General features: G+C 57.9%; 1 protein-coding gene across 6 annotated transcripts in view, besides 5 other annotated features; it reads left to right on the forward strand.

Moving 5' to 3' along the window:
• The window catches only part of SEPTIN9 (septin 9), a 219,098-nt gene that overhangs the window by 92,288 nt on the left and 114,907 nt on the right, over positions 1 to 11,903 (forward strand). Inside the window, 1 exon segment of one of the 6 annotated variants that reach the window (NM_001113494.1) lies at positions 2,297 to 2,612. The exons of the other annotated variants lie outside the window; for them this stretch is intronic. The gene's annotated coding sequence lies outside the window, so the exon portion shown is untranslated. 6 annotated transcript variants of the gene reach the window in all.
• Positions 1,851 to 2,540: an enhancer, noted in NCBI's record as "H3K4me1 hESC enhancer chr17:75371719-75372408 (GRCh37/hg19 assembly coordinates)". NCBI's record gives its function as "activates a minimal SCP1, AML or CMV promoter by ChIP-STARR-seq in primed H9 embryonic stem cells {active_cell/tissue: H9 hESC(primed)}" and the evidence as "EXISTENCE:reporter gene assay evidence [ECO:0000049][PMID:30033119]".
• Positions 2,643 to 2,702: an enhancer, noted in NCBI's record as "active region_12830". NCBI's record gives its function as "activates an Ori minimal core promoter by ATAC-STARR-seq in GM12878 lymphoblastoid cells {active_cell/tissue: GM12878}" and the evidence as "EXISTENCE:reporter gene assay evidence [ECO:0000049][PMID:35858748]".
• Positions 3,666 to 4,276: an enhancer, noted in NCBI's record as "H3K4me1 hESC enhancer chr17:75373534-75374144 (GRCh37/hg19 assembly coordinates)". NCBI's record gives its function as "activates a minimal SCP1, AML or CMV promoter by ChIP-STARR-seq in naive H9 embryonic stem cells {active_cell/tissue: H9 hESC(naive)}" and the evidence as "EXISTENCE:reporter gene assay evidence [ECO:0000049][PMID:30033119]".
• Positions 8,761 to 9,298: an enhancer, noted in NCBI's record as "H3K27ac-H3K4me1 hESC enhancer chr17:75378629-75379166 (GRCh37/hg19 assembly coordinates)". NCBI's record gives its function as "activates a minimal SCP1, AML or CMV promoter by ChIP-STARR-seq in naive H9 embryonic stem cells {active_cell/tissue: H9 hESC(naive)}" and the evidence as "EXISTENCE:reporter gene assay evidence [ECO:0000049][PMID:30033119]".
• Positions 9,299 to 9,836: an enhancer, noted in NCBI's record as "H3K27ac-H3K4me1 hESC enhancer chr17:75379167-75379704 (GRCh37/hg19 assembly coordinates)". NCBI's record gives its function as "activates a minimal SCP1, AML or CMV promoter by ChIP-STARR-seq in naive H9 embryonic stem cells {active_cell/tissue: H9 hESC(naive)}" and the evidence as "EXISTENCE:reporter gene assay evidence [ECO:0000049][PMID:30033119]".

The raw sequence follows: 11,903 nt of genomic DNA on the forward strand, positions 1-11,903 counted from the left end.
GGACCCTGTGCTCGTTCTGCGCACTGCCGCCTGGGTTTCCTTCCTTTTATTGTTGTTTGTGTTTGCCAAGCGACAGCGACCTCCTCGAGGGCTCGCGAGGCTGCCTCGGAACTCTCCAGGACGCACAGTTTCACTCTGGGAAATCCATCGGTCCCCTCCCTTTGGCTCTCCCCGGCGGCTCTCGGGCCCCGCTTGGACCCGGCAACGGGATAGGGAGGTCGTTCCTCACCTCCGACTGAGTGGACAGCCGCGTCCTGCTCGGGTGGACAGCCCTCCCCTCCCCCACGCCAGTTTCGGGGCCGCCAAGTTGTGCAGCCCGTGGGCCGGGAGCACCGAACGGACACAGCCCAGGTCGTGGCAGGGTCTAGAGTGGGATGTCCCATGGCCCCCATCCAGGCCTGGGGATATCCTCATCCGCCTCCCAGAATCGGGCCGTGGGGGACAGAAGGGGCCTGCGTGCGGGCAGGGAGAGTATTTTGGCTCTCTCCTGTCTTCGGGGTTTACAAAGTGTGTTGGGACTTGCGGGGCTGCTCTGTCCAAGCCTGGGTCTGGCGTCCGCGTCTCTGAGCCTGTGAGTGCGTGCGCTTTCCTGCGTCCTCTTGACTGCCGGTGCTGGGGCTCTGCGTCCTGCGTCCGCGGGAGTAAATACAGCAGGCGAAGGGGAAGCTCACACAATGGTCTCCAGCGCTCTGGGGCAGGGCTTCTGAGGGGCGGGCCTGCCTCTGCCGGGACCTGGAGCCCCCGCCCCTCGGAGAGGCTCCTAGGCTGACTTGGGCAGAGCCCTCTGGTGGGCCGGGAGGGGGAAAGGCTGTGTTGAAATGAGCAAACTGTCCAGGTGTCAGGCCAAGCTGGGAGGTGACCAGCCTGAGGTCCTCCCCGCTCCATGGCCAGAACCAGGGCTGACATCTGGGTGTCCTGAGCCCAGCTGCCCACACGGCCCACCTGGGGTCAGCCCTATCTGAGTGGGGGAGGCGGGGCCTCCTGGGGGACCAGAACTTTGGCTGGACGCCAAGCAGAGTGCCAGTGGCTGTTCTTCAGGGCTGGGCCTGAGGAGGGTGTGGGGCGGCGAAGGGACGGGAGGGGGTTGTGATCCAGTGGCCACTGGCGCTGTGCAGAGTGTGAGCTGGAAACATCGTAGTTACTTTGTCAGCTTAGTGGTGAAAGCCCTTTTTCAGGCTCTATCCCTTTGCATCCCTGCTTCCCAGAGGGAGGGGAGGTCTGGGTCTGCAGAGCTGGGAGGGCTTGCTGTTCCCGCCCCCCTCCCCCACAACACCTCCTCATCTGGACATCTTTGGGCACATGCTCATACTGGGGTCTCCCTAGGTCCACTGTGTTCCGTTGAGCCTCCTGCAGTCCCCGAGTGAATGTGACCTCCCTGCCCCTGCCTCTTTGCAACTCCTCCCTGCGACCGCTCCTCCAGGGGCCTTCCTTGTCCCAAATGTCCAAGTGGCACGACTTAGCCGGTCTGACCACTTTCCAGTAAGCCCTTATGGAGAGAGGCCCTGTGTTGTGCAGAGCTCTCCTCCTGCCTGCGGGATCGAGGTCTCTGCTCTCAGTTCCTAACAGAAAGTGTCGGGCCCCCAGTGGGATTTCTGGGGAAGAACTCTCGTGTCTCAACGGGAGCCCTGTGGCGGGAGGGGAGGCCAGGGTTTGGGGTTGTGTTCGTTGTACAGCTGTCACCATTTGCACTATGAAAGTTGTTAGTGCCCCTTCCTTGGGTCTCTGGGTGTAACTCCACCCTTGCCCCCATGTGCCTCCATCTGGAGCTGCTTCTGCGGCTGTCTCCCAAGCCAGTTTTGTGACCCTGTAATTTAGTCCAAGACAATGGGCTCATTGAGACCATCCTGGTGCAGCAGTTGGCAATCCTTTGGCTCTGGGGGAAGGTTTCTCAGTCTCGGGGAGTGGGGCCTCAATCTGCTGGTTCCCTGTGTTTATCAGTCTCCCCCTTGTGTGTCCTGAATGGTTTTGCTGGGAATTCTGGTCTTAGAGCCATCAGGTGGCCCGAGTCGATAGGCGTGAGAGAGTGTGTGTGTGCATGAGTGCGCATGTGCATGGGGGCTGACCTGGGGTATGGAAAGGTGGCCCTCCCTGGTGCCCAAGGAGCCTGGAGTATAGTTGGAGGGTGTGGGGGTGTGTATATGGGAGTTGGACAACCTTGGGTGGACAGACAGACGTGGGGAAGGGATGATTGAAGGAGGTGGAGGAGAGAGTGTGATTCAGCCCAGCCAGGGGTGATGTGGACAGGCAGCTTCCGAATCAGGGTAGAGAAAAGTCACCACTAGCTAGCAGGGGAGAAGTCAGTATGGAGGAGGCGGACCTTGAGGGAGAGTAGGAATTGGATTGCAAGAGGAAGGAGAGCCTTCTGGCCAGCAGCAGCCAGCAGCAGTGGGGGAGGCTGGAATGAGCTGGCTGGAGAGGGGGCTGGGGCATAAGGAGGGGCCTGCCTGTGAAGATCATATGGGCCAGGCTGCGGAGGGCCAGGCATGCCCGCCGGGAGTGCAGCTGGTCCACGGGAAGCATCTGGAGTGGCTGGGAATGGGCGCAGGAGCAGCGCCGTGGGAGCACAGGTCTCTTTCCCGGGGCGGCTCACCTGGTGTCTTGGTTCCTGCAAGGTAGGCCGAAAGGGTGGGGAGGAAACTGCCAGCTCCTTACAGCGCTGGGATGGTGGCCCCAGGGTTCCTGAGGCCAGCGGATGTGGGTGCCTGTCACCATGTGGGTTGCTGAGGGGCGGAGACTCCAGGGGCCACCCCAAAGCAGGACGAGCTCTGAGCCACGGCATCTCTGGGGGCAGTTTTCCAATCGAGCAGACGTCTAGGCCTGGAATCCTGTAACAGAGGCCACAGGGCCCTGATCAGGGTGTTCTGGGAGGCTTAGAACTAGTGGCAGTATACAGGGTAGACGGCAAGTGACCTGGCATGGGGAAAGAGGCAGGTGCCCAGGCCGGCACAGCACACCCGTAAGGAACAGGTAGACGGGAAGCCGTCCGTGGGCCTGTGTGTGTGCTCGGAGTTAAAATTCTGCCAATGTCCCATGTCCTGGGCACATCTACCCCCTCCCTGGGGAGCACCTTTCTCTTCACCTTTTCCTTCCCCGCCTGTCCCCTTCACCCAGGGCCTTCCCCATCCCTCCCGTCTTGGGGACCGAGGGCACCATGGCTTTATGTTCCATCACCGATGAGTTGCACAGGGATTCAGTCCTTCCGCTGTTCAGGCCGGGTCCTTCAGGCTCAGGGTTCCCAGGAATGGAGAGGGTATCAGTGTCTTCCATGGACTCAAACTTCCCGCATCCCGCCTTTGCTCCCCCTTCAAGATAGGTCTCCGAGCTTCAAGGTTTTAGGGCTCTGTGGAGGCCGCCACGTAGCAGCAAGGAGAATGTTTTGTATTTGGCTGATGAGATTTTTAGAGTCTCATTTTCTACTTTTCCACTGTACAAACGGGCCTCCAGGCGACTGCAGCACCCGCCACTGCCCGTAATAGGGTGACAAGAGGGATGACCCTTTCCTCTTTCTCCCTTCTGGTTGGTGGAGGCACGGGGCTGGCGGACGGCATGTGCTTTCGTGAATTCAGGCCAAATCTGTTATCGCAAACACGATTACAACTCGGGTCTTTGTGTAACAAAAGCCTTTCCAAGTACCAGCTGTTGGCCTGCTTTGCTCAGCGGTGTTTGCTGTAACCAGATTTGCACACCGAGAAAGAATCCAAAAGTCCTTGATGTTTGTTGAAACAATCTGGCCCAGGACCCACGTGCTCAGATCCCAGAGCTGTGTGGCATCTGAGCTTCTCCCGAGCCCCCACTGTCGCCCGAGGAGGACCCCCAGATCTGTGTTCTGGAGGCAGAGCAGGCTGTGGGACGGGCTTCTGGGTGGGAAGGACCATGTGGATATGCCTTCTTGTCTGAGAGTCCCAACACCTCCGGGACGTGGGAGCTGGCGCGCTGGCAGGATTCAGGTGCCTCTTTCCTCTCTAGAGAAAAAGGCCCCGTTGCTTGGTAATAGGTGCAGACCTGTCCCTAATTAATGCCAGTAGGCCTCTTGCGTGATGAACCCTGCCTTTCAGCCAAGACTCAAGGCATCCTGTGAATACTGCCTCTCTGCAGTTTGAGCTTTTGTGGTGGGAGGCAGGAGCCATGGGGAGTGGGGGCAGGCCTCTTACACGGGTCCCACAGCCACTGGCAGCACTGACTTGATGCTCTTTGAGTTCAGAGCCCAGGGCCAGACAGACCCACTGTCCCGACTACGAGTTGGTTCATTTAGAGGGGGGCGGACACAGCACCCAGGCAGCAGATGCACTGTGATCAGCCTTGCAGCGGGGCTGTGGGTTCTCTGGGCTGGATGTCCGGGAAGAGGCAGGTGGAGGTAAACGCCAGGACACCCCTGCAGTGACTGGGTGACTGCAGGCTGGAAATGCTTTCTGTGGGCTGTGGCTGTCCAGGAAGGTTTTGAATGGGGCTAGTGGACAGAGTTTGCATCCAGAGGGGCAGTGCTTTGGAGGAGTGAGGGGTATGGCAGTGTAGGGATGCCCAGGCCGCCCTCACTCTGCCATTGGAAAGCTGGGCGGCTTCGGTTTCTTCAGTTTCTTCGCCTGTTTCCCTGCCTGCAAAGTGGGGTTAGAAACAGCTCTCTTTGAGGGTTGCTGGGGGACTCTGAGATGCAGCCCATGGCGCTGAGCACGGGTCCTGCCTCCTACGGGTGTGGTGGGTGTCGCGGCTGGTGTGGCATCTGGGCGGGAAAAGGGGGCATTTGCAAAGGACAGGTAGGTTTGGATGCTTAAATATGCAGATCTGGGGATGGGAGGTCTCAGGCAAGGGCCTGTGTGATGCCACTGTATGAATGAGGCCGGACAGCATGGTCACCACTAATTATGGAAAGCACGGCAGACACTAGTGCCAGTAGCGCCCGCCTGGGGGTCCCTCTGAGCCCGACAGGTACTCAGGCTCCCAGTGCAGCCATGGGACCCCCCTTTTCCTGCCTGGCTGACATTCTGGAGGCTGGCGTCATGTTGGCTGCAGGTTCCTCTTACTGGGAGGTTGTCCTGGTCTTCCCTGCCACCATCTACCCCCACCCCCACCCTGGAGTGTCACAGATGGGTGGACCATATGCCCATCTGCAGGGCCAAGCGCTGACAATGAGGTGAGCACTTGCTGGATGACCGGACCATGAGGACAGCGGGGGCGCTGGCAGCCTGCGTTCGGCTCTGCAGGCTGGCCTTTCCCTGAAAAGCGGTTGTGGCAGAGTGTGCATCCCAGGGAGTGGTGCCTGCTGCCCTGAACATTCTCATCCAGCAGGCCTCTGCAAGGGCCCAGTCAAGTGTGGTGCAGAGCTGGGCTGGCAGCTGGAACAGTCTCATCTTGTCTAGTGGTGAGACCAAGGGCTGATGGGCCAAGGCTGCGTGCTGCTTGCCCAGCCCGTGGACCCATCCACTGAGCACCCCCATACCCCTACACTGGGCCCGGGGTGTCAGGAGGTGGAGGGGGGACTGGGTGCCTGGAAAAACAAGCCCACCGAGAGCCTGAGCCCCCAGGGGTCAGTATCAGGCAGTCACCACGGTGCCCGGTACACAGTGGCCACCTGGTCTCGTCGGCTGTCTTGGTGGTGGAGAGCGTGCATGGTGGCCGTACGTGATGGGCATCACCCAGGGTAATACAGATATGCAGACTGTGCATTTGTCTGTAGGAGCCAGGGACTTCTCAGCCTGGCAACCTGTGACCTCTGCCTACCCGTTGGGAGAGAGGTGCTGTTCCCTGATAGCCTGGTGCCGGGAGAGCAGAACTAGGGTCTCCTCCTCCTTTCTCCACCTCCCATTTCTTACATGCCCAGGCATCAGGGGAGGTCACACTCAGGGATGAGTCTTGGCCACTGGGTTCAGGGCCTCACTGTTGCCATCTCTTCCCTTTGCCAGCCAGCCAAATGCCCGTCCATCATCGTGCCGGGGATGGGGCTGGCCTGCTCCTCTGAAGTCTCCTTGGTGTATAGCCTAGGCTGGAGCCCCGGACGATTCCGCCACCCCCTCCCCCGACTTTTTCTTTTTATTTTGATTCATCCCAGAAACCCAGCCAAAAACCAAGTTCCTGTGCTCTCCCTTGACAAAGCCACTGAGGAAAAATGGTCAAACACTGCCTTTCTTTCCAAAGCCCTCTTGGTTTTTCCCAAATTTGGAGGCTCTGAGTTGCTTATGAGACCAAAGGGTCCGGAACTCTCTGGAACACAGTCCCAGAAGTGGGAGGATTTGTCATCTCTCCAGCCAAACAGACCCACCAGTTGGCCCCTAGACACCCCCAGGCGCCTGGGGCATTTCTGGGCTCAGGCTGTTTAATTTGGTCTGCAGAGCCCCGAGGCTCCGTTTAGACTGGGCCAGCAGACAGTTCTAGAGACTTCAAGTTTGTTGTCGTTTTTAAAAGTCCTGCCAATGCCCAGAAACTTAGAGGGACAAGAAGATGACCTCGATGTCAGCCGGGACCATAAACAGTGAGGCCCGCCCCCCCCCCCACCCATGCCTGCCTCCACTGCTCCCGTAGCTGGGTCTCCAGGGGATTGCCCGTGGCCATGGGGGAGGCCGGGAATGCGGGGCTCAGACTCTACTGGGCTTCTCGTATTTTTTTGTTTTTCCTTGTCCATCTTCTTTCTCGGAAATTTCTGAATATCCCCCTACAGCCTTTGGCATTCTGTCACTCCTGGCATCTCTGGGCCAACTGGGAAAGCCATCATTTGTCCAATATCCAGAAAATCAAGGGGCCTGGCCTTAAATACATTGCAGTGCCCTCCTCCCCACATGGCATCGAATTTCCTGTGTCCTCAAAGCCAGGAGCCTGTGCCTTGGATGTGGGCGATGGAGCCTTGCAGACACCTGGAGCGGCTTTCCTGGGAGAGTCTCCCTCGCCTTCCCATCCACCCGCTTCCCCTCCCCTGCCCCAAGCTCTGGTCACAGCCTCGGAGGGGTCATCTGAGTGTAGGTTGCCTCCAGGTGTACAGTTGGAGGGGGGCAGTTACCCCACATCCCCCTGTCTGCTAGGGGCACCCCCAGGGACTCAGGTCTTGAGGGACAGCGGAAGGGTGGGGTGGGGAGTAGGCCGTTGTCTCGTGCCACCTGGGTGTTATGTAGACTCTGAATGGGCAGTTCCTGGGAGCTGGTTTTTCCTTCTCACCCCTTCTACAGTGCTGCCCCTCTGAGGGGCTGGAGCTCTCTGGAGCCCTTTGCAGCCTGTGGCAGGTCTTTCTGATTCTGTGCCTGGTTTCGCAGCCTCCAACCCATAGCCAGTGGCATGAAGAACATTCCTGGCTGTCTCTACCTGTGGCCTTTGCAGGCAGCAGTTCCCTGGGGCAGGGCCTGGGGGTCCTGGCACCTCCTTGTGGGACCCCTTGGGTATGAGGGAGGGAGCCACCTGGGCCACAGATAGACCCCCTTCCTGTATCCAGGAGGTTCAGGATGGACCTGTCTCATCTTTCTTTCTGGTGGGAAGAGAGCATTCCTGGCCATGGGGAATGTGGCCTGGACAGAGCCACCTAGCCTCTCCCCTCCCCCAGGCAGGGCCCTGAAAGATGGAGATGGCTCTGCTCCTGCCAGGTCAACAGCCAGCAGTCTGGTGGATTTCCATGCAGTCCAGGCAGGATCTCCTTCTGTCCCCACCCCCCACCCCATGTGCAGGAAGCTGGTTCCAAGCAGGGACCCTTGGCCCCGCTTTCCACGTGGGTGGGCAGTTTCCCTGCGAGGGGCAGGCCAGGCCCCTGCCCTATGTCCCCCAGAGACCGATGTTATCTACAGTAAGAGCATACAAGTCTTTTTGGCTCCAAACCAGGCCTGGAGGGGTGGTCTTCTCCTCTGTCCTCTGCCTCTTGCCCCCCATTAAAGGTCAGGGAATGGAGTGCTCTGTATGTTTGCTGGGGTTGGGTTTTTTCCTTTGGTTTAAAATGAAGGGCTGGAATCCCTGGTGCAGACTGCACGGTGAGAGGTGCTCCTTGGGATCCACTCGAGGAGCATTACTGCTGAATGCCCTGCCAGGCCAGGAGCATCGCTGGGGGTGGGAGAGGCAGTTGGCTTATTTGTTTATCCAACAGCCATCCATGGGTACCCCAAGGGCCAGCTCTGTTCTAGGCACTGGGGGTCTAGGCATGGGCTCAGGAGAAGGGGTAGAACGGGAGGGCTTCCTGGAGGAAGGCTTCCTAACCAGAGACCGGGGTAGGAGTTTGCCAGGCAGGTGATGCTGGCCAGCTTCTCTTGCCATTTTCCTTTTCTTTTTTTCTTTTTCTTTCTTTCTTTTTTTTTGAGACAGAGTTTCGCTCTTGTTGCCCAGGCTGCAGTGCAGTGGCGTGATCTCGGCTCACTGCATCCTCCGCCTCCTGGGTTCAAGCGATTCTCCTGCCTCAGCCTCCTGAGTAGCTGAGACTCCAGGCACGCACCACCACGCCCAGCTAATTTTTTGTATTTTTAGTAGAGACAAGGTTTCATCCTGTTGGCCAGGCTGGTCTCAAACTCCTTACCTCAGGTGATCCGCCCACCTTGGCTTCCCAAAGTGCTGGGATTACAGGTGTGAGCCACTGCGCTCGGCCTTCTCTTGCCATTTCTGCAGACTCATAGTGTGTGTGGAAGACTGTATGTCTGTGCCTGGCACAGCTGCCCTCGGCACTCAGGTGGGAGGTGGGGGAGAGGGCTGTTGGTGCCAGCACAGGTCATGGCATGAGACAGGCTCCCGCAGCCAAGCGGGGTGCACCGCAGCATTGGAGGGGCCCTGCTGCGCACGAGATCCAGGCTCTGCATCTGTCCTCCTCCCCAGGAGGCCTGGAGGGCTGGGAGGGACCAGGGTGGTGAAATAACCCAGGTGGGAGAGAGGCACTGTTGGAGAGGCAGAGGGAGCTGCAGGTTTGTAGCAGCGAGCTTTAAACCCTGGGCCTCCACCAGAAAACCTCAGAAAGGGCTGCTTTGCTTTTTTTTCTAAACTACAAAAGAAACCCTTGGCCGCCTGGGCCCCTTGGGGTCGGGTGGGGGAGGAGATCCTTCATTCGCACCTTTGCAGGCCCAGTACTGTGCAGAGGGAGGAGGGTGGAGGCAAAGGCGAGGGAGGAGGGTGGAAGCAAAGGCGGGGTCCCTCCCTAGCCCCGCTGCCCTGCCTGGTTGCTGCTCTCAGACCCCTACTCCTGGCCCGGAAACATGGAATCTTGGGACAGCTGGGGTAGGGGGCACAGAACGGAGACCCTGGTGAGGGAGGAACTCTTTCTCCAGCCCTGGCTGTGGCCACAGCAAGGCCAGGCTGGGAGGACCTCACTCAAATATTTACATCTCTCCTAATATTTAAATGATGAAGCAGGCTCCTGCACACAGCTGCCCTGGAGCCAGCTGTTGCCTGCCCTACCCTCCCTCTCTCCCTCCCTCTTTCTTTCCCTCCCTCTTTCTCTCCCTCCCTCCTTCTCTCCCTCCCTCCCTCTTGCATTCTTTGTCTCTGACCCAAGTCCAGGCCCTTCCAGCTGTTCTCTCCTTACCCACAGGCACCTCCTGTGACTGAGCTTCTCCTTGTTATTTTTCATAACCATTTCCTTTAATTGAGCACCTCCTAGGTGCCAGGCCCTGGGCTGGTACTTTGTATACAAGGTGTCTTTTAATCCCCACGAGAGCCCAACAAGGTAGATTGGGCTGCTGAGGCTCCAGCGCTGGAAGGCCGGCCCGGGTCCTCCCAGTCCGCACCTGCATCCATCCATCACTCCCCCACTGTGGAGACCTGTTCCCTGGCCCCTGGCTGAGCACGATGGAAATCTCTGTCTACTAGTCCTTGGAGAGTGGGGATGGCTGAGGGTCCCGACCCTGGGGTCTGACGGGGGCTGCCTCTGCCCCACTTCAGCCTGGCTGCTCTTCCACTCAATGACTGAGTTTGCAAAACCAGAATAACAGTGCTACCTGGCTGGTACTTTGGGTGGCTGGGAGGCGTGGGAGAGGGTGCACGGAGGGGCTGAGCGAGGTGTCAGCATCGTGGGGATCTCCGAGGGTAGCCTTCCCAGGCCCAGGGCGGAGTGTAGGCAGAGGGCGCGATGGCCCAGCGTGCCGGCTCACATCTGGCCTTGCCCTTGCCCACACGGCAATGTGGGGGAGTCATCAGCCTCTCAGTGCCTCAGTTTCCCATCTGTGCAATGGGGACAAGAGTAAATCACTGTCTTCAGGTATGGTAAGCACTCATACACATTGACTATTGCAGAATGAACACAGTGAGCCCTTCTTAGGCTTCTACTACATGCCAGGCAGGGTGCCAGGCCCTAGTGGAGAGGGGACAATGATGGGCAAGCTGGCTCCTGCCCTCAAGGGCTGTCGAGCAGGGAGGAAGGCGGCGGCTGCCCTGACTGTGACCCGGAGTGGGGTGATTCGCAAAGAGGCTGGCGGGAGGCTGGCTGGGGGCTGGCTGGGGGCTGCTCCCTCTCCTGCCTGTGTTCCGTGGCAGGGTATTAAACTGGCTTTTTTCATGGATTTCCGAGGCCCTGACTGTGGGACCTCGGGCAGGTTTTGGGACCTTGTGACTTTGTTCCCGCTTGTCATTCAGGCCTTTGTCCTCAGCAGTGCCCAGCACACGGCGACTTCTGCATGTCCTTCAGTGTGTGACTGACCCTGGAGCTGAGACTTGGCAGCTGAGGCTGGACATTGTCCTTGGATAACTCCCGGGGAGGTGGGGGCAGGGTGGGGCTGTGAGCTGGCAACTCCGAGTCCCTAGCAGCCTCCGAATGGAGGCTTTCCTCTTGTAGGATTCTCGGGGAGGAAGGAGGGGATGGGGGAGATGAGGCTTGTGAGTCTTCAGGAGGGCAGAGGTTCACACCTGCAGCGCCCCAGAAACACTCCGGGGTGCCCAGGCTTACCCAGCCCTCCTGAGCCAGAACCACCAAGAGTTGGGGACCAGCAGTCCATTTTTTAGCAAGATCCAGAAATGATTCTCCTGAACAGTCCGAGCCAAGAATGACATATCTGGAATCAGAACATCAGAACTACAGAGGAATCGAGAGAACGGGCCCAAAATGTGTAGGGACCTCAGCCACATGGCGCCACATGGAGGAAAGCACCCAACATCATCACTGTATGAACCTGTTTAAACACACACACACACACACACACACACACACACACACACACACACACTCCCCAGTAAAGAGTGGAAAGACATTTGTCAGAATATTGATGGAAGTTACCTGGGTTGTGGGTTTATAGATTTTTTCCCTTTGTTTTTGTGCATTTTGCAAATTTTCGGCTTTGTGCCTAAATTCCTTTTACAGTCAGGAACAAAGCAATAGATGTTATTTTTTAAAGTTCATGGGCTCGTGCCCGTAATCCCAACACTCTGGGAGGCTGAGGCAGGAGGATTCCTTAAGCCCAGGAGTTTGAGACCAGCCTGGGCAACATAGGGAGACCCCCACCTTTTTTTTTTTTTTTTTTTGACAGAGTTTCACTGTGTCCCAGGCTGAAGTGGCGGTGGCACGTTCTTGGTTCACTGCAACCTCTGCCTCCCAGGTTCAGGTGATTCTCATGCCTCAGCCTCCTGAGTAGCTGGATTACAGACACTCATATTTGTAGGATTTGAGAATCCTACAAGAGGAAAGCCTCCATTCGGAGGCTGCTGGGGACTTGGAGTTGCCAGCTCACATATTTTTTAGTAGAGACAGGGTTTCACCATGTTGACCAGGCTGGTCTCAAACTCCTGTCCTCAAGTGATCCATCCATCTCGGCCTCCCAAGGTTCCAGGATTACAGGCGTGAGCCACTGCGCCCGGCCATGGGAGACCCCCTCTTAAAACAAGAATAAAAATAAAAATAAATAAAAGTTTACTGTCAAAAAGAAAAACACATCACCCAACCTAATCTCCCCCTAGGATTGAGAGATGAGGAAGCAGAGGCCGGAAAGTGTCACATTCCCTGGTCGCTGGCAGTCAGGGGACCTGAGGCC

The sequence above is a fragment of the Homo sapiens genome, chromosome 17 (genome assembly GCF_000001405.40).
Source record: "Homo sapiens chromosome 17, GRCh38.p14 Primary Assembly".
Classification (NCBI taxonomy): Eukaryota; Metazoa; Chordata; class Mammalia; order Primates; family Hominidae; genus Homo; species Homo sapiens.